The 25,698-nt window shown below is 39.6% G+C and overlaps 1 long non-coding RNA gene across 3 annotated transcripts in view; it reads right to left on the reverse strand.

The window, feature by feature from the left end:
- Positions 1–23,520, reverse strand: part of LOC105378178 (uncharacterized) — an 894,025-nt gene extending 870,505 nt beyond the window's left edge. For all 3 annotated transcript variants that reach the window (XR_007064152.1, XR_943837.3, XR_007064153.1), the window contains exon 1: positions 23,452–23,520. This is a non-coding gene — a long non-coding RNA (uncharacterized LOC105378178). The remainder of the gene's footprint in view (positions 1–23,451) is intronic.
- Positions 23,521–25,698: the final 2,178 nt, after the last annotated feature.

Here is a 25,698-nt window from a genome sequence, read left to right on the forward strand (position 1 = left end):
AAATAAAAAAAGGTTAATTTTAATAGTACATTTTATTTAACCCAATATATCCAACTTACAATTTCAACATGTAGTAAATAGAAAAACTTATTAATGAGATATTTTACTTTTTTTTTTTACTAAGTCTTTGAACTTTAGCATATATTTCATCCTTGTAGCACATCTCAGTTTGGACTAGTCACATTTCAAGTGATCAGTGGCCATGCATAGCTAGTGGCTACTGTATTAGACATTATAGCTCTATAGGCACCCCAAGAATATTCATTCATTCATTTGATTAATATATAAGAATCACCTACTCTGTTTCAGACACTCTGTAAGGCACTAAGCATATGTCAGTGAAAAGAATTACTACATCTTTGCTCTTATAGAGCTTGGAATTTGGCATCTTGGCAAAAACAAAGATATTAAGCAAACAATTATGTGAATGTTTATAATAAAGTGTGATAAAGGAAATATACAAAGTGCTGCAACATATACTACTATATGCCTACCAGGAAGAGAGAAAGAGATCAAGAAGACATTCATGAAGGAAGGGACACCTAATCTGAGATTGGAAGGATGGGTAAAGATTTATCAAGCTTGGAGGCTGGGAGAGGGGTGGGATCAGGGAAATAAGTGGTCCAAGTAGCCTTTGAGTGGAGAGCAACCTGATGAGGATGAGGGACTGATAGAAAGCCCATGAGCTGACAGCATGATAGGTAAAGAGGAGAGTAGCAAAAAATGAGATTAAAGAGGTAGGCAGGAATCAGAGTTCAACAAAGATTTGAGCTTTTATCAAAAGAGCAAATGGCCGCTTGAGGAGAATGTTAGAGGGAGGTTTGACATGATCAGATTGCATATTAAGAGGATAAATCTAGCTGCTGAATGGAAAATATATTTGAGGTTATACAGAGTAAATGTTTAGAGCCCAATTACAAGGCTACAGCAGCCCAGGGGAAAGATGGTGGTGGTTCAACATATCTGGGAGATAGACTGAATAGGATGTGGACTCTATACCAATGATTCAGTAGGATGTGAGTAGTAAGAAAAGGAGTTGTCAAGAATGCCACTAGGTTTCTGATATCAGCCATAAGATAAATGGTGGGGCCATTTGATGAACTGGAGATAAAATAGAGGAGTAAGAAGAATATGAGTTCCATTTTGAACACGTTCATTTTGAGATATCTGCAATACATCCAAGAGGGAATGTCATTAAGACAGAGATGTGGCCCTGGAAGTCAGAAGAGAGGTTGGAGCTAAAATTTTAGCATTATCATTGGCAGAAAGCAGTTAACTGAAGCCACAGAAAAAGATGAAATCACCTAAGGTCCAAATTTCAAGTGAAAAGAGAGGGCATAGGGCTGAGTCCTGAGAGTCTCCATCAGATAAAGACTGAGTAGTGAAGAAGGGCCCTGATATGTTTTGCTGTGTCCCCACCTAAATATCATCTTGAATTGTAGCTGCCATAATTCCTATGTGTCGTGGGAGGGGTAGGTGGGAGGTAATTGAATCATGGGGGCAGTTACCCCCATGCTGCTCTTCTCATGATAGTAAGTGACTTCTCATGAGATCTGATGGTTTTATACAAGGGAAATTTCCCTCTTTGCTCAGCACTACTTCTTCCTGCCATCATGTGAAGAAGGACATGTTTGCCTCCCCTTCCACCATAATTGTAAGTTTCCTTAGGCCTCTTCAGCTATGCAGAACTGTGAGTCAATTAAACCTCTTTCCTTTATAAATTACCCAGTCTTGAGCAGTTCTTTATAGCAGCATGAGAATGGACTAACATAGTAAGTTGGTACCGTTTAGTGGGGTGCTGCTGTACAGATACTTGAAAGTGTGGAAGCAGCTTTGAAACTGGGTAACAGGCAGAGGTTGGAACAGTTTGGAAGGCTCAGAACAAGATAGGAAGATGTGGGAAAGTTTGGAACTTCCTAGAGACTTGTTAAATGGCTTCAACCAAAATGCTGATAGTGATATGGACAATGAAGTCCAGATTGAAGTGGACTCAGATGGAGATGTGGAATTTATTGGGAACTGGAATAAAGTTTACTCTTGCTATGTGTTAGCAAGCAGACTGGTGGCATTTTGCCCCTGCTCTAAAGACCTGTGGAACTTTAGGGTATCTGGCAGAAGAAATTTATAAATGGCAAAGTGTTCAAGAGGTGACTTGGGTGCTGTTAAAAGCATTCAGTTTCGTGTATTCACAAAGATATGTTTTGGAATTTAAACGTACGTTTAAAAGGAAAGCAGAGTATACAATTTTGGAAAATTTGCAGCCTGATGATGCATAGAAAAGTAAAACACATTTTCTGAGGAGAAATTCAAGCTGGCTGCAGAAACTTGTGTAAGTAAGGGGCAGCCAAATGTTAATTGGCAAGACAGTGGGGAGAAATGTCTCCAGGGAATGTCAGAGGTCTTCACAGCAGGCCCTCCCATCACAGGCCCAGAGGCCTTAGAAAAAAAATGGTTTCATGGGCTGGGCCCAGGGCCTTGCTGCATTTGGCAGTCTCAGGACTTGGTACCCTGTGTTCCAGCCATGGCTAAAAAAGGCCAATGTATGGCTCAGGCCATTGCCTCAGAAGGTGCAAGCCTCAAGCCTTGGTGGCTTACACAGGGTTTGGGGCCTGCAGGTGCATAGAAGTCAAGAATTGAGGTTTGGGAACCTCCACCTAGATTTCAGGGGATGTATGAAAATGCCTGGAGGTCCAGGCAGAAGTTTGCTGCAGGGGTGGAGCCCTCATGGAGAACCTCTGGTAAGACAGTGAAGGCAAATGTGGGGTCAGAGGCCCCACAAGGGCACTGCCTAGTGGAGCCATAAAAAGAGGGCCATCTTCCTCCAGACTCTAGAATGGTAGATCCACCAACAGCTTGCACCATGCACCTGGAAAAGCCACAGACACTCAATACCAGCACTTGAAGGCAGTGAGGAGGGGGGCTATACCTTACAATGCCAGAGGGGTAGAGTTTCACAAGGCCTTTGGAGCCCAACTCTTACATCAACATGACCTGGATGTGAGACACGGAGTCAAAGGAGATCATTTTAGAGCTTTAAGATTTGACTGCCCTGCTGGATTTTGGACTTGCATGGGGCCTATAGCCCCTTCATTTTGGCTAATTTCTCCCATTTAGAATGGGTATATTTACCCAATGCCTGTACCCCCATTGTATCTAGGAAATAACTAACTTGCTTTTGATGTTACAGGCCGATATGGCTTGGCTGTGTCCTCACCCAAATCTCACCTTGAATTGTAGTTGCCATAACCCCCACATGTCATGGGAGGGACCCAGAGGGAGACAATTGAATCATGGGTGTGGTTACCTCCATGCTGTTCTTGTGATAGTGAGTGAGTTCTCATGAGATCTGATGGTTTTATAAAGGGCTTTTCCCCTTTTACTCATTCTTCTTCTCCCTTCTGCCAGGTGAAGAAAGGTGTGTTTGCTTCCCCTTCTGCCATGATTTATTGTAAGTTTCCTGAGGCCACAACAGCCATGCTGAACTGTGAGTCAATTAAACCTCTTTCCTTTACAAATTACCCAGTTTCAGGTATGTCCTTATAGTAGCATGAGAATGGACTAATATAGCAAATTGTTGTGATAGAGTGGGGTACTGCTATTAAGATACCCAAAAATGTGGAAACAACTTTGGAACTGGGTAACAGGCAGAGATTGGAACAGTTTGGAGGGTTCAGAAGAAGATAGGAAAATGTGGGAAAGTTTGGAACTTCTTAGAGACTTGTTGCATGGCTTTCACCAAAATGCTGATAGTGATTTGGGCAATAAAGTCCAGGCTGAGGTAGTCTCAGATGGAGATGAGGAACTCGTTGGGAACTGGAGTAAAGGTCACTCTTGCTATGCAAAGAGACTGGAAGCATTTTGCCCCTGCCCTAGAGATCTGTGGAACTTTGAACTTGAGAGAGATTATTTAGGGTATCTGGAGGAGGAATTTCTAAGTGACAAAGCATTCAAGAGGAAGCACACATAAAAATTTGGAAAATTTGCAGCCTGACGATGTCATAGAAAAGAAAAACCCATTTTCTGGGGAAAAATTCAAGTCTGCTCAGAAATTTGCATAAGTAAAAAGGAGCTGAATGTTAGTCATCAAGACAATGGGGAAAATGTCTCCAGGGCATGTTGCAGACCTTCACAGCAGCCACTGTCATCACAGGCCTGGAGGCCTAGGAGGAAAAACTGGTTTCTTGGACTAGGCCCAGGACCCCTCCACTGTGTGCAGCCTAGGAACATGGTGCCCTGCATCACAGCCATCCCAGCCATGGCTAAAAGGGGCCAAGGTACTGCATGGGCCATGGCTTCAGAGGGCGCAAGCCCCAGGCCTTGGCAGCTGCCACGTGGTGTTGAGCTTGTGGGTGCACAGAAGTCAAGAACTGAGGTTTGGAAACCTCTGCCTAGATATCAGACAATGTACGGAAACACCTCAATGTCCTGGCAGGGGTGTGCTTCAGGGGCAGAGCCCTCATGGAGAACCTCTGCTAGGACAGTATGAAAGGGAAATGTGGGTCAGAGCCCCAACACAGAGTCCCCACTGAGGCACTGCTATTGGAGCTGTGAGAAGACGGCCACAGTCCTCCAAACTCCAGAATGGGAGATTCACCTACAGCTTGCACCATACAACTGGCAAAGCCACAGGCACTCAACACCAGCTCATGAAAGCAGCTGGGAGTGGGGCTGTACCAGGCAAAGCCACAGGGACAGAGCTTCCCAAGGCCACAGTAGCTCACCTCTTGCATCAGCGTGATACAAGTTCACTCTCAAGTTCAAAGTTCCACAGATCTCTAGGGCAGAGGCAAAATGCTTCCAGTCTCTTTGCATAGCAAGAATGACCTTTACTCCAGTTCCCAACAAGTTCCTCAGCTCCATCTGAGACTACCTCAGCCTGGATGTGAGACATGGAGTCAAAGGAGATCATTTTGGAACTTTAAGGTTTAATGACCATTCTATTGGATTTCCAACTTGCATGGGAGCTGTAGCTCCCTTGTTTTTGCCAATTTCTCCAATTTGGAAAGGATGTATTTACCCAATGCCTATACCCCCATTGTATCTAAGGATTTTACAGGCTGATAGGTGGAAGAGACTTGCCTTGTCTCAGATGAGTCTTTGGACTTGGACTTTTGGGTTAATGCTGGAATGAGCTAAAACCTTGTGAGACTGTTGGAACGGCATGACTGTGTTATGAAATGTGAGGACATGAGATCTGGGAGCAGCCAGGGGCAGAACAATATGGTTTGACTGTGTCCCCACACAAATCTCATTTTGAATTGTAGTTGCCATAATCCCAACATGTGAGAGGAACCAGGTAGGAGGTAATTGAATCATGGGGGCGGTTACCTCCATGCTATTCTTGTGATAGTGAGTGAGTTCTCATGAGCTCTGATAGTTTTATAAGGAGCTTTTCCCTTTTATTCATTCTTCTCCCTGCCACCATGTGAAGAAGGACATGTTTTCTTCTTCTTCTGCCATGACTAAGTTTCCTGAGGCCTCCCCAGCCATGCCAAACTGTGAGTCAATTAAATTTTTTTCCTTTACAAATTACCCAGTCTTGGGTATGTCCTTATAGCAGCATGAGAACAGACTAATGCACAGGCTAATAGGCAGAATGGACTTGCCTTGTCTAAGATGAGACTTTGGACTTGGACATTTGGGTTAATGCTGAAATGAGTTAACACTTTGGGGGACTGTTGGGAAGGCATGATTGTGTTTTGAAAGGAGAGGACATGAGATTTGGGAGGGCCAGGGGTATAGTGATATGGTTTGGCTGTGTCTCCACCTAAATATCATCTTTAATTATAGTTTCCATAATCCCCACGTGTCATGGGAGGGACCAGGTGGGAGGTAATTGAATCATGAGGCAGTTACCCCCATGCTGCTGTTCTCATGATAGTGAGTGAGGCCTCATGAGATCTGATGGTTTTACAAGGGGCTTTTCCCTTTTTGCTTGGTACTTCTTCCTGCCATCATGTGAAGAAGGATATGTTTGCTTCCCCTTCTGCCATGATTGTAAGTTTTCTAAGTCCTCCCCAGCCATGCGGAACTGTAAGTCAATTAAACCTCTTTCCTTTATAAATTACCCAGTCTCAACCAGCTTTTTATCGCAGCATGAGAATGGACTAATAAAGGCCCCATAATGGCAGGGAAGTCACCAGGAAATCACAAGACAAAAATATACAGGGAAGCCAAGAATAGAGTTTTTTCAAATAAGAAGGAGTGAGTAGTGAATGTATGGAAATTTCATAAAAAGTCAAGTTAGATAAGAATTATCCATTAGACTTAGAAACAAGACAACTTTGTAAGAGCAGTTTCAATGAAGTGGTGGGCCCAATTGAATCAGGAAGTGAAGACAGTACATATCAACAAATCTGAAAATCTGGTTATGATAGGAAGACGAGAGTCTGGGAAGTAACCTCATCACCATTCTCCATTTTCCATTATCCTGCTTCCATCTGTCAATGTCTGACTCAATATAAAATCAGCACTGACACATGCATAGTTACAGCTACACATAAGAAGTCTGTCTGTAGCTAAAGCCAAGCAAACATAATACCCACAGCAGGGATGGAAACTAAATATCATGAGGTGATTGTCATCAAAAGATGACTCCTTTTTGAGGAAATCCCAAGTGAAAAAAGAATTGGCACTGGGGTCAGGAGATTTTCCTAAAACATCCTCCTGTTGCTAAGGAACTTGAAGTCTACACAACTGTACACACATAAGTCTACTCCTGGCCTGTGGCGATCTTTATTATTCCCTATTTTCCTACATTCAGAACCACTGAGGAGAAAAATATCCATGGGCAGGCCAGCGAGTTACAAATAATGGAGAAATAGACATGGAATAAAATTGAATCATCGAGTTTGTGAACCAAAGGCCAACCTGCCAACTCATTTCTAAGGTTTGTAGCAGGTTGTCTGTGGTCAGAAACTATATAGATAGTTTTTACGCATTTCAAAACCTCAAAAGACAGCGTGGCAGAGAAAAGAAGCTGGATCTCAGACCTGTCTGGATTTAAATCCTGGTATCCTTACCTACTGCAGATTGTCCTGGGCAAGTCACTTCCACAGGCTGAGCCTCAGTTTCTTCATCCAATAAAAGAGGTCTAAAAATATCTCCCTTATGGTTTAGTGGAGGAAATTAAATGAGATAATGTATAGAGTGCTCAATGGGCTGTCTGGCATGCAATAAATATTCATTTCTTCTGACTGGTCAAAATGCGCTTTGAATGTGCATTTAGTAGCATGAATAGGAGGTGTGTGCTAGTACTTAATACATCAGCAAAAAGAATCTAGGTGGAAATTAGAAGAAATGCAGTAAACAAACAATTTAATGTGTCAACATATTCTGAAGGAGTTAGAGAAATCCTGAAATTACACCAGTGGTTATTATCTGATGGATGGGTAAATAAAACAGACAGTCCATGACACTATCCTTTCAGTCTTTTTAGAAGAGAATGAGGTATGGTATCCTCTAAGGTAGTATCCTTCCCACACAAGGACATTTTGTCATTAATATCATTTTTAACACAAGAAGAACCAATGAGACTTTTTTACTTCTGCATGCCCAATTTCAGAACCACAGTTAAACAATTGTTTTTTAAAAGAGATTTAACATTATAGGAAATATTTTTCAAAATTTTATTTTATTCAATTATTTAGAGACTAATAGGCTTGCGTTCTGCTTCCTTATTCATTATCCTAGATTTTGAGCTACAGATCATTGCTCTAAATCTCACGATCAGCTGGACCACTCTGAAATAGAGCTCTTAGATATTTAAAGGAGGCATTTCCTAAGGCAATGCTCATCTCATCACATGTCTCCCCCAGCATACAAGATCAGTGATAGTCACTGGACTTATACAAGATTTTGAAATGCTTCCACATAGCCCTTCAGAAAGTATGTAAAATGCTATGAATAAGACATTGTCTCTGGGTTAAACGTTTAATCAAACCTAATGTACTTTTTAAGAGCAAATCAGTGATCACTTCAATATTCTTTACACATGACTTTTGAGTCCCCTTACAACTAAGTCAGCCTCAGTACCAAGAGTAGATAGAGATTTGATTTTCAAAGGGCCATTTTTGTCATAATCCATACCACTTAGAAACCTGAACGACAACACTCAAGAACAAATTCTTACACACTGAAGTCAAACTTTCCCATAGTCTGACCCATCTCATCTTCTACATCTCCCTTCCATAAACACTAAACCCTAATTGACTTTATCTACTAGCCATTTCCCAAACACACTGCTCATTCTTTCTCATCTTGCACTTTCCTGATAATGCCGTTGCCTTTGTCTAGACTGATTTCCTTCCATCTCCATCTATTTAGAGCTACATGCCCTTTCAAGGCCTGGTTCAAATGCCCCTTTCTGTTTGTTTTTTTTATTTTTTTCTTCAATTTTATTTTAAGTTCCAGGGTACATGTGCAGGATGTGCAGATTTGTTACATAGGTGAACATGTGCCATGGTGGTTTGTTGCACAAATCAACCCATCACCTGGGTATTAAGCCCAGCATCCATGAGCTATTCTTCCTGATGCTCTCCTTGCCCCCATGCACCCCCAACAGGCCTCATTGCGTGTTGTTCTCCATCATGTGTCCATTTGTTCTCATCGTTCACCTCCTGCTCATAAGTGAGAACATGCAGTGTTTGGTTTTTTGTTCCTGCATTAGTTTGCTGAGGATAATGGTTTCCACCTCCAACCACATCCCTGAAAAGGACATGATTTCATTCCTTTTTGTGGCTGCACGGTATTCCGTGGTATATATGTACCACATTTTCTTTATCGAGTCTATCCTTGATAGGCATTTGGGTTAATTTCATGTCTTTGCTATTTGTGAATAGTGCTGCAATGAACAAACGCATGCATGTGTATTTATAATGCAATGATTTATATTCCTTTGGGCATATACCCAGTAATGGGATTGGTGGGTCAAATGGTATTTCTGCCTCTAGATCTTTGAGGAATTGCCACACTGTCTTCCACAATGGTTGAACTAATTTACACTTCCACCAACAGTCTAAAAGTGTCCCTTATTCTCTGCAACCTTGTCAGCATCTGTTGTTTCTGAACTTTTTAATAATTGCCATTTTCACTGGCGTCAGATGGTATGTCATTGTGGTTTTGATTTGCATTTTTCTAACGATCAGTGATGTTAAGCTTTTTTTCATATGTTTGTTGGCCGCATGAATATCTTCTTTTGAGAAGTGTCTGTTCATGTCCTTTGCCCACTTTTTAATGGGGTTGTTTGGGTTTTTTTCTTGTAAATTTGTTTAAGTTCCTTATAGACTCTGGATATTAGAACTTTGTCAGATGAACAGATTGCAAAAATTTTCTCCCATTCTGTAGGTTTCCTGTTCACTCTGATGATAGTTTCTTTTGCTGCACAGAAGCTCTTTAGTTTAATTAGATCCCATTTGTCAATTTTTGCTTTTGTTGCAATAGCTTTGGAGTTTTTGTCATGAAATCTTTGCCCATGCTTATGTCCTGAATGGTAGTGTCTAGATTTTCTTCTAAGATGTTTATAGTTTAGGGTTTTACATTTAAGTCTTGAATCCATCTTGAGTTAATTTTTGTATAAGGTATAATTAAAGGATCCAGTTTCAGTTTTCTGCATATGGCTAACCTGTTCTCCCAGCACCATTTATTGAACAGAAAATCCTTTCCCCCGTTGCTTGTTTTTCTCAGATTTGTTGAAGATCAGATGGTTGTAGGTATGCAGTCTTATTTCCGAGTTCTCTAGTCTGTTCCATCGGTCTATGTGTCTGTTTTTGAACCACTACCATTCTGTTTTGGTTACTGTAGCCTTGTAATATAGTTTGAAGTCGGGAAGAGTGATGCCTCCAGCTTTGTTCTTTTTGCTTAGTTCTTGGCTATTTGGCAAATGCCCCCTTCTTTATGAAATTTCCATCATCAACCCAGCTAGAAATTAATTCTCTCTCCCCAGAACAGCCATAACACTCAGACTATACTCATCTGCTACTGCTTTGTACCTCCTGAGTTTAACTACACTTGTATGGAGGTATAATCCTTCTGTCTTACTGGTCTTTAAGTTTCTTGATGAAAGAGATGATGCTTAAATATTATAATAATTCTTTATAAATAATAAGTGCTCAATAAATAATAATCCTTGTTTTACAAAATCTTAGCAAGTGCTTCACATCACTAATCACATATGTAAAATCTCCACTTCTCATTTGCATAACACTCAAGGGTTGTGTGAAAGGATGGGCAAAGCGAAGCTTCTTTTAATCCGTTTCTAAGCTTCTTTGCACCACTTGCCACATTCTAGTTTTCCTTCTAGTCATCCTAATGTATTCATTATGGCATTCATTCTAAACCCACATGAGACCCTCAAATAAGTCAATCCTCCTTTGAAACTACACTTTATAATTAGGATTCATGATTGGAATGAACATTTGTATTTCAGCCTATAGGCTGGCCCCTTAAGTTTTGAAATTCTTATTATGACTATATAGTAAACATTTTCATCATGTGAGAAAACATCCTTTCTCCTACATAGCAGATATAGAAGTCACAGAGCACATTGCCTGACACCTACCATCTCATCAGAAAGACACAGTTCACTATTCAGATAGTGAGTGCTTTCTGTGACCCTAGCTAATGCGGAGCTCCTGAAAAGCCACCCACTAAGGATGGCAGGATTGTACTAGCTGGAAGACTGATATGGTTTATGATCATTCCTCAGTTTGAGCCTGTGTCACACTCCCACTGTACAAGATTTTTCTTCCTATCTGGGACATACATTCCTCCATTACTTTTGAAGTTTTCTAAAGAAAAACACTCTCCTCCTGCCTCTCTTTTTTTGGGGGTTGGGAGGGAGTTGATGCTTTTAAGAGAGGAGGGGACTCTGTACCCCTCCATGGAAGAATTAAAGCCCATCATATCTTTTTCTGGGATTTTTCTGACAGTTTACCCTTTGTCATATCAGAGACAGAGCCTAAGCTTCCTTGTGCAAAGGCAAAAGATATGCAGAGAGAGAGAGCCTGGGCCTCTACTAAGGAGCTTTTCTAAAAAAAAAACAACAACAACAAAAAAAATAGCTACTGCTATTGAACAGATTCTAGGGAAAGGTGGCCAACCCTGGAGAGTCAAAGTTCAGGAACAGCTGGTTGATTTTCAATTAAATTCCATGATTTATGAAATCTGTGTTTCCAATTTGAACAAAAATAAATGACAGATTAAAAAGAGTAGGTCCTTAAAAGGACATAAAATATTGACAGTATAAATAGCTGTCAGGTTCAAAATTTAATCATGAATTGAATCCAAGATGATTGTGTTTACACCAAAACAGTGTCCACATGGACATATTAGTAGCAGTCCTACTTGACGATTCCAAAGCAGTAAAGCCACATTGGGTGGAAGATGGACCTCTGCAGAGAAGGTAAATTGCACAGAGATGATCGTGTCCCTTCTTCCCTGTCATTCTTCCCGAAGAGAACCTCAAAGCAGTTCAATTTAAAATGTTGCAAAGCACCACTACCTCCTTTCAACTTTTAGCTGTTCTGTTATTCTTCACTGAATTGAAAAAGGGCAGAGTTGGGACAGGCTTTTATGCCCCACACCTCCAGAAGAATTCACAGAGCTTGACCAGAAAGCAGTGTTGCTGTCTAAATGATAAAGGGATAATTCTAATTTAATTTAAAAGGGTAAGCCGTTAGGGAACTGAACACCTCAGGACTTATCCATAAGAGCTAAGGCCTTTTATTACTAGATTGATATATCCCCATACCACCCAGATCAAAAGTAAGTAAAAGTCATTTCCACATAATAACTCTCTGGTAGCCTATGGATAATGAGTTTGTTATCTCCAGCCATCTCTCATTAGGAAGGGATTGGCCCCTTTACAAACACAGTACAGAGTGGCTAACTCTATATAAAGCTTTTATGAAGAAAGAGCTAGATACAATTTCCCAGTGCATCAAGGAAAGCAGATTCTAACCTCATCTGCGCTGACTGGGTTTGACAAATTTAACCTTGACACACTTCCATTTGTAAAGATGTAAAACAGAAATACCCTCAATAACAACTCATCTTCCACAGAGTCTTTGTCAGGATTAATGACTTTGGTGTGTATCGTAAGAAAAATATTCAAATAGAATCCACAGCTGTATTTTTCTGCTGTTCCAACTATAGCCATGGTAAAGCCTGGTAAAGACAATGATTCAGTAAGAAAAAGAAGGCAGAAGTTTGTTACCAGGGGTTGGCAATAATATTCTTATATGGTAGATGAGCTTTTAGTGTTGAGGTACCTGCTCATCTATCCTCATGGTACCAACAGCTCTGAGCTTTTCTAATCAGGAGAATCTCCCAATCCAGCAGTGCCACATGGACCATGTCAAGATGCCTCCCAAGAGAAGCATGTGAGGAGTCGGTGTTCTATGTCCACTTACCTGTGTCCTGTCCTAGAGTGTAGCTTTTAACTGCTTGTTTGTCAGTTTGGTAGTAAACAACACCAAAAGTAACAACAAACTTTAACATAGTCCAAGTTGTCATTCTCACCAATCTTCAAACCCAAACCAAACTTTGTCATAAGCCCTAGCTTGCTAAGTCAGGACAACTTGTACCACGTCACAGCCATGAGAACAACTTTGTCCTACACTGAGCACTGCCTAACATCAATGGTTCCCAACCCTGGCTACACATTAGAATCACCTGGGGAGCTCTTAAAATCCAGTTGCCTAGGCAGCATCCTGACTAAGTCAGATTTTCTGGGGTGTGTCACTGGTTTTCAGGTCTCGCTGGGTGATTCCAAGGTATATGCAAGGCTGAGAACCACAACTGTAGAGTATCTTTCCTTTCTACTATATGAGTTCAATACTAGGATGACCAGCTCATCCTTGTTTGTCTAGGACTGTCTCGGTTTCACCACTGAAAGACCCACATCCCAGGAACCTCTTCAGTCCAAGCAAACCAGGGCAGTTTGTTAGCCTAGTGCCGAACTGTTTTTTCAATAACTAGCTTTCAATCCTATTGTTGTTGTTCTTACACTTTCCATTAACAAACCATCACACACCAAAATCTGCTGTTTCTCACTTGTGCCATAAATGTTCTTTATTCTGCATCTCATTCCCTATCCAAAAGATTTGGGGATAAAATGTCTAAAATCCAAGAGATATTGACTCACGAGCAGATGAATTACCTGAAGAAGTTAAAAATGGATTTCAATAAACATTTATTAAAAGCCACTATGTGCCAAGCAGTTTCCAATGCTGTGTGTCAAAGATGAATAAAAAGACAAGCTTACATTCAGAATGTTCACAATCTGCTAGCATCGTAAAAGCCAAGAGAGAAAAAGGAGAGGACCAAGAGAAACAAAGAATATGAAGAGATGGATTAAAAATAAGCTAAGCAAATAAATTTGCAGATGTTATAAACTTTAACTTTGGAGGAAAATATAGTATAGATCTGCTGAAAATAAAAATGTTAATGCAGGAGAACAAACACAGGAGCCTCCCCACAGAATTTTTAGAGCATATTTCTTCATATATCACTTCAGAAAATGTTCCATTTCTAACATTTAAAACTCAGCGCAGATGAGCAGATTCAGAATGACTTAAAACTCCTAGAAATCCAAGGTCAATGACATTATAAATTCCAAGTACACCTGAGTTAAAGGCATATGTTTTATTGGTAATTGGCCTCCATTTTGGAATCTGTGCTCATTATACTATGAAAAACCCTCTCGTATAATACAGGTAACAAAAGCAAAAGGTAAGAATAGTGCTAGGCTGCTAGGTCAAGACACATTAAATAAAATATGAAAACAGTGAAGATAAAAGGTAATCTCAGAATTTTATAAGAAAATAAAATACAATCCACTCTTAAAATCAAACATCAAAAAAGAACTGGAAGTTTTCGTTTTCACTCAAGAACATTCTCAACCACCACACAGACTTGATCTCATCAGTTTTTAGCAGGTTTAAATATTTTATTTTATATTTCCCCAGAAAAAGTAATTATAGCCTTATTCTACCATTTTTATACCAAATCGGAAAGTTGCCTATAACAGCTCTCTCTTCTTTCCTATTTCCATTTCACTCCAGAAAAAAAAAAGGTATAAAACTAACTACCACATCAATCTTTAAAATATCTAAGAATATTTAAGTTCTATTTCTTTTTTTCTTACCAAGAAATTGATAAAAGAAAGACAAAGGGAAAAGTTTTTACTAATTTATATTACAACTCTAATGGCCAGTCACATCGGTTGTAGTTCCTACATGATTGCATCGTTTCTAAAATTAGCTCAGTTTAAATAGGAAGCATTTGTAGGTTAGAGTTCAAGGGATGTGCTGGAGCTGGCTTGCACCAGCTTGAAATGGCTGATTGTTGAATTTTATGAGCTGGTTATTTTATATTGGTGGCTTAAAACAGCTTTGGAAAGAGAATTTACACCACAGAAATTGGCAAGAGTTACTAGAAATCAGGGCTTTTGTTAATTGACAAACAATAATTGTATATATTTACAGGGTACAGTGGGATGTTTTGATAAACCTTTATATTTTGGAATGACTAAATCAGACTAATTAACATATCCATCGCCCCAAATACTTGTCATCTTTTCTGCAATAGATCTCAAAAACTAATTCCTCCTGTCTAACTGACATTTTGAATCCTTTTACCCCTATCTTCCTCTTTCCTGCCCCACCCCTCACCTTCGCCTCTGGTAACCACCATTCTACTCTCTATTTCTATGGGTTTGACTCTTTAGATTCCACATATAAGTGAAATCATGCACTATTTGTCCTTCTGTACCTTATTTCACTTAGCATAATGACCTCCAGGGTCATCCATGTTGTCACAAATGACACGATTGCCTTCTGTTTAATGGTTGAATACTATTTCACTGTATATATATACTACATTTTCTTTATCCATTAACCCATTATGGACAGTTAGGTTGATTTTTATATCTTGGCTATTGTGAATAAAGCTGCAAGGAACATGGGAGTGCAGATACCTCTTTGACTTACTGATTCCAATTCTATTGGACATATACACAGAACTGAGATTGCTGGATCATATGGTAGTTCTATTTTTGTTTTTTGAGGAAGCTTCATTGTTTTCCATAATGACTATACAAATTCATGTTTCCAAGAACAGTGTACAAGAGTTCCTTTTTCTCTACATCCTCACCAATACTTGTTAACTTTCATATTTTTATAGTAGCCATTCTAACAGGTGTGAGCTGAAAACCCATTATGATTTTGATCAGCATTTCCCTGATGATTAGTGATGTTGAGGATTTTTTCACATATTCATTGGACACTTGCAGGTGTTCTTTTGAGAAATACCTACTCAAGTATTTTGCCTATTTTTAAATTGGGTTATTTTCTTGCCATTGATTTGTTTGAGTTCCTTACACATTTTGGAAATTAATCAGATGTATGGTTTGAAAATTTTCACCCAATCTGTGGATTGTCTTTTCATTCTTGTTTCCTTTGCTGTGCAGAAGCTGGTTATTAATCATTTACCAGCACACCACTTGCTCTAGCTCATCACCCATCTTGAATGCGTTAAAAGAATCAGACACAATTTTTTTTAAAAAAGGTGAATTCTGGAGCAGAAAAATAAGAGTCTCCATGATAACCATCAGTGAAATGGGCAAATAAACAGAGAGAATGCAAAATTTTTCCTACCACAGTGATAGAATGTGAAGGAAAAAAGCTGCTCAGTTCAGGATCTCAGCTCAAAAACATCCACCTTTAAAGAGGAAAGGCACAAAGGCAGCCATAATGTGGAAAGAGGTTGACACTCTGGAGGCACCCAGAGAAATCATGGTGAGGGTGCAACAGACTCCTCGCACTTTCTATCTGCCCCATTTCCACATTACAGTGATGAAAGGGTGGGCTGGGAAACCCGCGTATGGGGTTCCTAAGAGGGACCTGACTCTTTTTTTATAAGATTTGCCCAGTTCCACCGGCCAGAATGTCTTTCCTTTCCACAGCCCCACAACGATGCCCTTCATGAAGTTTAAATACAAAATTCATCCCAAAGCCTTTCCTCTCTGTCATATCAAAGTCATAGCAAGAGGGAAAAAAATTCCTGTTTCCCATTCTGAAGGTGATGTTCAAAGTAAGAGATACTCTATTTTTGTCCATGCTTTGTAAGCATGGACAAAAATTTACTGTGAGTCCTTTCTGGTAGGTTTCTGTTTATGTTTTTATCCAAACACATTAGAACACTGGCTTCCTGTTTCTTTCCCAGAAATACGCCTTATGGGCCCAGTGCTTCCCTGCTAATCTCTCACATCCTGTTCTGTGACAGTCTAAAATGAAGGTGCAGCAGGTCAAACTGTCATTGATTTAGCAATGCTTCCCTTAGCTTGAAGAGGTGGAGAAATGTTTCCTGTCCCTTAAGAGGCATAAAGGTAGGAAATCAGGCTTTTCAAAAGGCAGTCACATTCTGTCCATGTGAATACTTTCCTTAGCCTGCTTGGGCTCTGACACCTGCACTGTTTACACACCTGGATGCACTTTGTAACCCCAATCGGGCTCTGACACCCCACATCAGGCCACCAGTGCCCACCTGCATGGATGCCCACCTAAACCTTCTCTAGCTCTGGCACTCTACACTGGGCTGCCTTCACAGGCTCTCCCTTCTCACTTCACTCAGGCTGGGAACGTTGTGTGTTCATGAGTTCACTTAAACTCTTCATATCTGAAATAGTTTATCTCATTCTCTTTTTTCCTATATAGAATGTTCTGTAAATGTTCCTATGTTCCATAGAAAGAAATTAAGGAAGGAGGAGGGGAAAGGAAGGAAGGCAGTAGGGAGGAAAGGAAAAGGGAAGAAGAAAAAAAAGGAAATATCCAGGGACATTTTTTTTTTAATGGAGTCTCACTCTGTTGCCAGGCTGGAGTGCAGTGTCATGATCTCGGCTCACTGCAACCTTCACCTCCTGGGTTCAAGCTATTCTCCTGCCTCAGCACCCTGAGTAGCTGGGATTACAGGCACCCGCCACCATGCCCAGTTGATTTTTTGTATTTTTAGTACAAATGAGGTTTCACCATGTTGGCCAGGCTGGTCTCAAACTCCTGACCTCAGATGATCAACCCCCGCCCCCCGGCCTCCCAAAGTGCTGGGATTACAGGCGTGAGCCACAGTGCCCAGCCCCAGGGGCATTTTCTAACCACACACCTCTGTATGTTCATAAAACTAAACCTTTTCCTTATACTGCTTTTTCATGTCCCTGGATTGCCAACATTATTCAGCTGTGGCAACACCCATCAACACTGCAGCCACACACCATTTGCAATTCCTCTGCATCTTAACAGTTTACTCTGCTCCCAAGATATTTTGCAGGAAAGAGAAAAAAGAAAAGGTTATAAAAATTTTTTGTTCTGCAGTAGCCCTGGGAATTTTTTAACATGAGGTGCATTCACACCATTAAGTGAGCAAACAAAAAAAAAGCCTTCATTTTATAAGAGCCATTTTAAAACTGCTTAAAGGAAAGTAAAAGCAAAAGCATCACAGAATTAGATGCCACTAAAAATATTTAATTAATTTGAGATGAGTAGTACATTGGGCTCCAACCACTTTCCTGCAATAACACTGGTAACCTGATACCAAAAGTGAGGAAGGAATACAGGAACTTACCCTCTCCCAGGGCAAGAGCACACCTAATCTGGGAATAGCAAAAGGAGATGCAGTACAGAAATTAGCTGGGACACAGAATTTATGAAAGAAAGAAGCCTTGCCGGAAGCCATCCACTTGTGCCTCACTATTAGAAATCATTGGTGCAAGGTAATATTTGGACAGGCGTAGACACTCATTTGTATTTGAAGGTAAGCAACGAGCAGCCAAAGGCTTAATTAACTTTGCTTTCAACTACTACTGTGATGTAATTAATTATTGCTATCCCTAAAACCATTATTTTTTTGTGGTTGATCTTTTATTGATGGGATCTTTCAAAGGATGAAACAGCAAGATTTTTTAACCCTTTGTGACTCATAAGGACTTTCAATCTCCCAAGTTGAAAATGCCAGCATCTAATATAATAGCCTTCCACAGGAGGTGCATAATTCCTTAGGAGTGTGCAAGATGATCCTTTGGAGTGCTGGAAAAAAATATTAGGGCATTTACATTTGTTTATATTTTAATCTATAAATAGAGAAAGAAACCAAGCTCTACTAATATCTAATGTACAGACCAGCTCTGGCACCCTCACTCAGTGCATGTGTCCAATAGCCAGGTAGTCAGACATCACTGATCTAGATGTACCCTATCACAGAGTGGGAGAAGCTGCCAGCCTGCCCTCTCTTTGTCTTTGGTTTTCAGCATTTGGCTCTACATCACAGTTTGCATGTGCCCAGCAAAGTGGATTCACAGATCATGTTACTTAATTTTAATCAAACTAATTCTCACCAAACGCTGCTATGGCTTTAAGATATTTCTGCAAAGAATCCAATGGATTAATAATGTAAATGCAAGTGAAAAAAATAAGAAGAGAGCAATGGCAAAGCTGACACTTCTACCTTCAGTACAAGCTCTTTGCCAGCTACACATTTAATCGGTTCCTTCAAGGTAAATTAGATGTTTTAACAATAAGCAACAAAGCAACTTCTTTTTAAAAGAAATTCATGCTATAGAAAGAGCATTGTGAAAATGAACGTTTGGAAATGTTTCCATCATTATATGATTTTGTTGAGGAAAACACTGTAAGTATACACTCTAAACACTCCCTCTCTGCTGTTTTTAAATCTTCCAAATGGAGAGTTTCAGTGGGTTTTGAATGCCTTTGTTAAAAACATTAAAATGCATTATCTTCAAATTAGTTTTGCAAGAACATCTGATTGAGATCACAGAAGATGGAAATTTGCTAGCCATATTTCAACAAAAACCATTGCAAGATGAATTCTAGATTGAAAATTGACTTACATGATTGTGAAGTCCGTAATGCACTCCTCCTACTTGGATGTTTTCAGAAATATGTTTCAACTATGATAATAATTGAAAACTAAGTCTCAAGATAAACTCGAGGTAGAAATACAACTTCTAATTGCTTCACTGCAAAATTTTAAACTAATCGTTTAAAAACAAATAAACCATATTAAAGTATATTGCTCTCCTTTAAAAATGGTACTAATACTTGGATGAGAACAAAAATATTTTATAACTATAAACAAATACAATAAAATATCATTTTAATGTGTTTATTTTATATTCATGACATCCTTTAAATTTATTTAAGTGTATGTTTTACAATAAGCATACATAGCTATTGTAGTACATTTATAGAAATGATAAATAAGCATATGTAGATTGTGGATAGAAAGTTCAAAAATATTTTACTGATAGAGGCACAAGATCTAAAAAGTGTTGTGATGACCATTGGTCTACAATGGCTTCCAGCCTGGTGAGAGTTTACTTCCAATACATGTACTGTGTACATCAGAGAGCTGAAGTTCCATCATGGTGCCTACTGTATACATCAGAGAGCTGAAGCTCCGTGTTAGGTAAGTTTGGGAGCAACAAAAACATATTCAAGGTAGTGCATCAGTAAAGCTTCGATTAAGAAAAACAAGATTTACTAAAATGTAGGCCATAAAATACGGGTTTTACATATATTAACTTCAGAATCATAACAGTATACCCACATTGGTTGCAGTACTCCACTTAAATAAGTTTAGAAATGCTGCATATGACTAAGAATGCTTTCAAATCAAAGGTTCCTAAAGCCATTAAACTGCCTTCCACCTTAGAGTAAAATCACGTTCACAGATGATGTCAAAACTTCTGATAAACAAAACACAACTTTCATCATTGACAAAATTTTTCCCTATATGTCAACTCATGCCGCTCCTATATTCAACACTTTCCAGCAGGCTTTTCATCTCAAAGTAGAATCCCAAATTTTTGGAGTTGCCTACAAGATCCTCTCTGATCTCACCCCTTCTACCTCTCTGGCCTCAGCTCCTTCTACCCTCCGTCACTGGGCTGCAGCTACACACCAGTCCCCTCACTCTTTCTTGAACATTCCAGGCCCATTCCCACCTCAGGCCACTCTTGCTGTTCCCCCAGCCTAGGAGATTATCCGTTCTCCTCCCCCACTGTCCTTGACTGCCACTTTAGCAGGAAAGCCTTTCCTGAACACCCTCCTGCAACCTCTATGTCTCTTTCATGATTCATTTTTCTCCTTAACTCCTGTCACCATCTCAAATTATATGTATTTAGGTTTTTTTTGTTTTTTTGCCACAAAGGAAGATTTTGTGTTTTATTCACTGTTGTATCTCCAGTACTTAGCACAGTGCCTGGCACATAGAATAGTAAACATCTTTTGAATAAATCTGCATCTTAAGCAGAAAACTGAAGAGCTGTTTCAAAATACTCAGAAGTAGAAACCATCTCCATCAACTTATTCAATATTTATTGTGAATTTACTATGTGAATTTACTATGTAATTTACTATGACCAGGCACCATTTTGGATTGTTTGAGAAAATGTAAAAATAAAACAAAACTCTCTTAAGAAGCTTAGGATTTGACATAAAATGCAAACAGATCATTGTAATATTCAGCAGGCTATGTTTGCTAAGCATTATTGAAGGGTTGCTGGCTTGGGAAGTGTCGGGAAGAGAGAACTCACTTCTATCTATTAGAGCGGGAAAGTCAGGGAAGTAGAATATCAGGAATGACTTCAGAGAAGAAAGTATTTGAATTAACTTTCAAAGGTAAACTTTTGTTTATAACTTTAAGTACACCGTGTATTATATAGTATGATTCATTTTTCTCTAAGATTATTTTCAATTTTCTCCACTCCCTAGTTCGCAGAAAGGTAAAGAAAATGAACTTATAAACATACTGGCTTTCAAGGAGCTTAGAGCTTCTTATCAATCCAGGAATTATTAGAATTTTAACAAAGCCTCTTGAATTCAGAAACAGAGAAACTTGGCCCACTGTAGCAAGGGGACATTGTCACATCAGAGGCGAGTAAGTGTGAGTTAGACGACCAGGATACACCCCAATCTGAATGGGGAAGGAAAATGTGTTTGATTAATTTTGACACCAATAGTTTCTTTTAGCAAATGCCACATTCTTGGCAGGTTTATGTTTCTTATTATGCCATTTTACCATTTAAAGAGGATAAAAGGGAAAAATTAAAGTCCCATGAGTCTCTATTAATCTTTTCTTCAAACATCACCTCAAGGATCAGGCATCAGATATGACATCTTTCAGGGTTTTCACCCTGAGTATTCAAGTCCTTTTATGCCAAATGCAAAGAAGAGACACCAATCCAGTATTACCAGATTTATATTCATTGGCATTTTTATCTCATCCTACTATTACATATCTGTGATCATAGCACCTGCTGATTCAGAAGCACCAAAAGACCAGGTTCAAGAGCTCTTGCAACTAGTTAGTTACTGAACTAAAATAGGTGTCTGGACAGCAGAGACTTGTGCTTAAAATAGGAGAGCAAAAATATCTTCCATGCCATTAGAAATGCATAACCTTCCAGCAACAATGTGACGGTGGCCAGTGGTCACTAGAAACCCCCCAACCTATAAGCACCTTGAGGTTATAACTGAAGTGTGTCCTTTATTTCTGACAGTTAATCCCAAACATGGCATCAAAAAGGGACTTCCCAGGAGCACTAATGGGGTCATTTTCTTTACAATGGTACAAGCAGTTATTTGATATGAGTAGGTTCTAAGAATAAAGAACTCTGGCATTATTTCCATATTGACTAAAGAGTATCAGACCCCACAAACAAATATTTTATTTATAAATAAAAGTGTGCAATGGTACATGAATACAAAAACAGTTAAAGGTAGGAAACTCTTCCCATTATAAATATCCACAGCTTTTAATTGAGTATAAAATAATATCTCCTGCTTGAATAATTTTGTAAGAAATTAGGATATGCAAGTCAATGAAGAAAAGTGTCTGGGAATAATGCTTGGATTATATGACAAGGATCCTTATTGGCAGTCATTAATGTCACTTATATCCCTGTCTTTTCAGAAGAAAAGAATGTCACTTATATCATTTTCAAAAGAAAAGGCAGGGATGGCTGCTATATAGACCATCACAAAGCTCAAAAGAAATTAATTTGGTTTGCCAATCCTTTTTGTAGCCAGGCTCATGTTTGTAATTTCTTGTTGATTCAGAAGCAATGAACAAATTTTTGCTCAGTTTAGGATGTCTTTTTTGGACAAATTCTGATTTCCAGAGCCAAGGAGTTAATTTTCAGATATTTCACATGACATTCTAGAGGTTAATTATTAAGCAGGTAGTGTGCATTTCATTTCCAGGAAGAGATGGACATCTACCCTGACAGTTCTCAGGGATAATGGAAGGCAGAAGAAAGATCTAATCTTCATTTCACTGTTGATGAAGTGAATATCCTGAATGGATATTCTGTGGCAGTCTAATGAGACAACACAGCATACAGCGGAAATTTGAAATATTCTGAGTCACTACAGAAGAGTAGATAGATTCAAACCTGCTTTTATTGTCTCATTTCCAAGAGCTTTTATACCATTTCTCCAAATATGAAAACGTTCCTTGTCTCTCTCCTACCACTCCTTTTTGCTTGTGTCAGTTACTCAATGCAAAACAATTCCAACCAGGAACAGTCATTCCAGCCCCAAACAATCATCTGAGTTTGGCTTTCTGTCCTCAAACAGCGTCCACACACACTTGATTCCACTCAAATACTCTTTATCCTCTTGCCACGTCATAGAAATGGCCTTGACACATCCCAAGGCACAGACCACAGCACGCAGTTCTCCAGTACATAAGTACATAAGAGACAGAGAACAACTCCAAGTGAGTTATTCAGTATCTCTTATATAACTCATTCCATTCTGAAAAGCAGACTTCAGCCACGGTTTAGAATCAAATTGCAACATAGCTCTAACAGAAGTAAGGTCTGTAGCCCAAGGAAATACCACAGTCACTTTTTATTGAAATCCTTTATTGGCTAGAGTCTAGATTCTCTTAGGTATAGGCTGATGTCTTTCGTGTCCTATGGCCTATGAACATTTGCCACTATCTTGATGGATCTGTTCCATGAGTAAACAAAAATTTCTCACCTTTACAATTGTCAATCCAAAAATTTTCATCAAGGCCCTCAAAAGCTTTTTGGAACTCCCAAAGTGTACCTAAAAAACACACTGCACTACTTATAATCTCAGATTTCTCTACACTTGCCTTAGAGCAAATTATTTCTCCTCATCACCCTCTCCCCTACCCTTTCCACAGGCAAAAGTCAAAAAGCTAGTTCATATTAAATTTTAAGATCTGTAAGAAAAAAACTCAGCAAGTTGCTGTTGGTTGAAGCAAAACAACATAAAAATCTTTCTCCATAAGTGAAGACACAGGGAAAGAAAGAAAACTTGAGCCCAGCAAAATAGTGCTCTCTTCACGCAATCAAGATTTCTGTTAAAAGTCTATTCTTTATAAGCAGTACATACCCATGGTTCTCACCTGATGCCAGAGAAGCTCAAGGTATTTTAGGTTTCCATCCTGAACATTTTCCTTAAGAAATGATACCTGCTGACCAGAGAAAAGAATTAGCTATTACTGAATAAATATTATTTTATGAACTTCAGGGCCTCAGGGGGACCATGATTTTACCAATGAGCTAGCTTTTTAAACAGGATGGATGAGTGCACGGGCACATTACAGACGCGATCCTATGGCCATTACCTGTCTGTGCATCTCCCTCTGAGACACCAGGTAGCAAAGTAAACTGCTCCCCTGTAAGATAAAGCCTTAAATGATGAAAATTCAATTCAAGTGTCCCAGTAAACTATATCCTATTTTCCCACCCCTGAAGACCAATAGCCTCCTCTTTCTTTTGCCTTTCTTTCTGAGTTACTTTTCTCTGTGCCTCTGCCTCTCGTTCTGTCTCCATCTGTGAGGAAAGAGGGCTCAGGGAATGAGGAAGAATTCTGTCTTTTGACTTCTGTCTCCTTCTCCTAGCCTCTCTCCCCCTGTTTCTACCTCTCAGCATCTCTTCCCCAAGTCTCTCTCCCTCTTTCCCCATCTCCTTCTCTCCCTGTCTCACTTTGGTATTTCAATTTGGGTTTTCTTGTTTTGCAGGAAACAGTACTGATTTTATACTCCTGGAAATGAGGGTATACAGCTGGGCAAGAACTTCTCTGGGAGTGAATCACTATTGTTCCCAGAGGTTTTATTTGTCTTCTTTACAAGTCTCCCTGCTGCCCACAAAAGTGCCAAGCTCTTGATCAATGGGATGGCGAAGTGTCACATTTTTCCCCTCTAAATGCAGAGTAAACCTTCACAGCCTTGCTCCACTGCACTGAAAAATGAAACTGTAACTACATGCTGGAAGGTCCTTAAACAATTCCTCTCTAGGCATAGCCCCTGAATGGCTTCTACATGGCTAAACAAGTGCCTCAGAGGAAGAATGTTTATCCTTATAAAATAATTTCCCATAAGAAAACTTTGGTTCCACAATTGTCTTTTCCAGGAATCCTAGTTACACCGTCAACATTAAAACCCACACCTGTCACATGAAGCAGATCAAAAGAAAAAGAAAAAGAAGCCCTTCCCATTGAGGACTCAGCCCTATGTACCTTCCTATTCCCCATAGCTAGCAAGTATAGGTGATAAATGCATATTGGTAATAATGAGACCTATGTTTTATGACCTAAAATCCTGCTAAAACTAGAGTCCTGACCCATCCTTTCTCTTCCCAGAATTTTATTCATTCTGAAAATAATAGAAGTTTTCTTACAAGTTTCAATAAGCCACGACTATCAATATTAAGAGCCTCACTCCACAATTATATTAATTCACACTTGTAGCTCCTGTTGCTCTATGCCAGATCCTGAAAAACTATGGCCCATGGGCCATATCCAGCCCACTTATGTAAGTTTTACTGGGACACAGCCATGCTCATTTGCTTACATAGTGTCGAAGCCTGCTTCACACTACAATGGCAGAGTTGAGCAGTTGCCACAGAGACAGACCCTTTGCAGAAACAATAGATATACCTGCTCTAAGCAACAGAAACACCTAATGATTATGCCAATAATTGCCATCACTCATTCAGTATTCCATGAGAAAGTGACACATACTTTTCCTGGATTATTGATTTGCCACAGCCTTATGAGTAAGTGCTGGGATTATAGGCGTGAGCCACAGCACCTGGCCTGAGTTAGGCACTTTTATTAACACTACGATAGACTGAATGTTTGTGTTCCCCCCTAAAACTCATGTTGAAATTTGAACCCCCAATATTATGGTATTAGGAGGTGGGGCCTTTGGGAGGTAATTAGGCCATGAGGGAGGAGCCTTCATGAATGGGATTAGTGCCCTTATAAAAGAGACCCTAGAGAGATCCCTGACCCATTTTGCCATGAGAAGACACAGTAAGAAAACAGCTGTCTATAAGCCAGGAAGCATGCCCATGCCAAACACTGAACCTGCTGGTACCTTGATCTTGGACTTCTCAGCCTCCAGAATTGTGAGAAGCAAATTTCTGTTGTTTATAAGCCACCCAGCCTATGATATTCTGTGACAGCAGCCTGAAAGAACTAAAAGAATTATCATTTTCAAAACGAAACCAGGTATCTTGTAAGAGGAGCAAGAAGTCAAACCCAGACAGTCTGGCTTGAGAGTCCATGCTGGTAATCACTACTCCAAACTGTCTCTAGATTTGGGGATGCTAATGCTCAGACAGGAAAGAAGTTGGGTAACAGTAGG

Source organism: Homo sapiens, chromosome 14, assembly GCF_000001405.40.
Source record: "Homo sapiens chromosome 14, GRCh38.p14 Primary Assembly".
In the NCBI taxonomy this organism is placed as follows: domain Eukaryota; kingdom Metazoa; phylum Chordata; class Mammalia; order Primates; family Hominidae; genus Homo; species Homo sapiens.